Raw genomic sequence first — 1,560 nt, forward strand, 5'->3', positions numbered from 1 at the left:
AAATGCAATTCCGATTAGGGAGGCCTGGAGTGGGGCCTAAGAGTCTGCATTACTAGCAAGACTCAGGTGATGCCAGTGCTGCTGGCCTCCCGGCCCCCATAAAGTGGCGAGGGACTACAAGGAGCTAGAGCAACACGGAGCTCCCTTTGGCTCAGGCGAACACAGGACCCACAAGAGTCCAGAGTGGGATCAGAGGCTGAGCCCAAAGGCGTCTGGCCTAAGGGGAGGTCCACGGTGCTGATCAAGATGGTGTCTGTCCACAGTGTCCAGCCTGTCATGGAATTAGAACTATAGGACACCTAACTTGGCCCAAACCAACACAGAACCCAGCCCAGGGTGTCAGGGAGCCTGTAGCAGCCCACACTGAGACAGGGCTCACAGGGCCTGGAGTGACATGGAGCCTGGTGGGGTGGGACTGAATGATAGGGCGCCCATGTTGCTTCAGGAAATCACAGAGCCCACAGGGATTAGACTGAAGTGGTGCCCGTTTTGGTCCAGAGTGACATGGAACCCACAGTGGCCACAGGGGTCTGGACTGACTTGGAACTCAGAAAGGACTAACAGAGGTGATGGCCACATTTGCTCAGGGTGACATAGAGCTCATCAGGACTTGGACCAACTGGACCAACCAGGCACCCAACACAGAGCCCCAGACATGACAGGGGGCTCTCCGTGCAAACTCCAGGTTGCAGAAGACAGGAAGGGAGGGTCCGGAGGAGGCTGGGAGAGGAGAGGAGCAGGTGCCGGGGAGCAAGGCTGCTCTGTGGCTGCTGTGAGCCTGCCTGCCGTGGGCTGAGTGCTACTTGGCTGGGCCCCAGAGAGGAGGTGCTGCTGCTGCAAGGCTCAGATGGAGGAGGAAGTGGGAAGCTGGAGGCAGGGTGGGCGCGAGGCTGGGGTGGGGAGAGCACTTCCTCCCCCAAAGAGGCTTGGCACGGGGGCTGGCCCACTGCCCATGTGGATCCTGGCATTTACACTCCCCGCTCCCATTATACACAGGCGATGCGGTGGGTTATGGGTCTGGGACTTACGGACCTCAGATCAAGGAGCATTCAGCGCTGGGGGAACAGACAAACCGATGTCTCCCTGAATGGAGCACTCAGGGTCCAGAGGAGGAAGGGTTCTCCCTCCTGGCACTGGAGGTCCTTTTGATGCAGCCAGGTCCCTAGGCAGAGTGCCCTGGCCCTATTGTGTCCTTGCCCAGAGGAATGCAGAAAACAATGCAGGCTGCCCCTTCCCACATCCCTGGCAAGATCTAGAAATAGGTGCCCACACCTTCGTCTTAACTAAACCCAGCCCTCCCTCCCGCTTCTGGTCAGATGCCTCTCAGTCCTTGTCCCTACCAAGGGGAGAAGCCCCTCAGAGGCTACCTGCAGCTTCTCTTTATGCCAAGGTTAATGTAGAGGAGGAAGGGATGGAGGGAGGGGCATTACTATGAATTTATTTTTTGAGACAAGGTCTTGCTGTCTCACCCAGACCAAAGTGCATCAGCACAATCATAGCTCACTGCAGCCTTGATCTCTTGGGCTCAAGCAATCCTCCCCGTTCAGCCTCCTGAGTAGC

General features: G+C 57.5%; 1 annotated feature.

Annotated features, from left to right (window-relative positions):
* Positions 562–1,061: an enhancer, noted in NCBI's record as "H3K4me1 hESC enhancer chr17:36814959-36815458 (GRCh37/hg19 assembly coordinates)". NCBI's record gives its function as "activates a minimal SCP1, AML or CMV promoter by ChIP-STARR-seq in primed H9 embryonic stem cells {active_cell/tissue: H9 hESC(primed)}" and the evidence as "EXISTENCE:reporter gene assay evidence [ECO:0000049][PMID:30033119]".

This window comes from Homo sapiens, chromosome 17 (genome assembly GCF_000001405.40).
Source record: "Homo sapiens chromosome 17, GRCh38.p14 Primary Assembly".
NCBI lineage: Eukaryota > Metazoa > Chordata > Mammalia > Primates > Hominidae > Homo > Homo sapiens.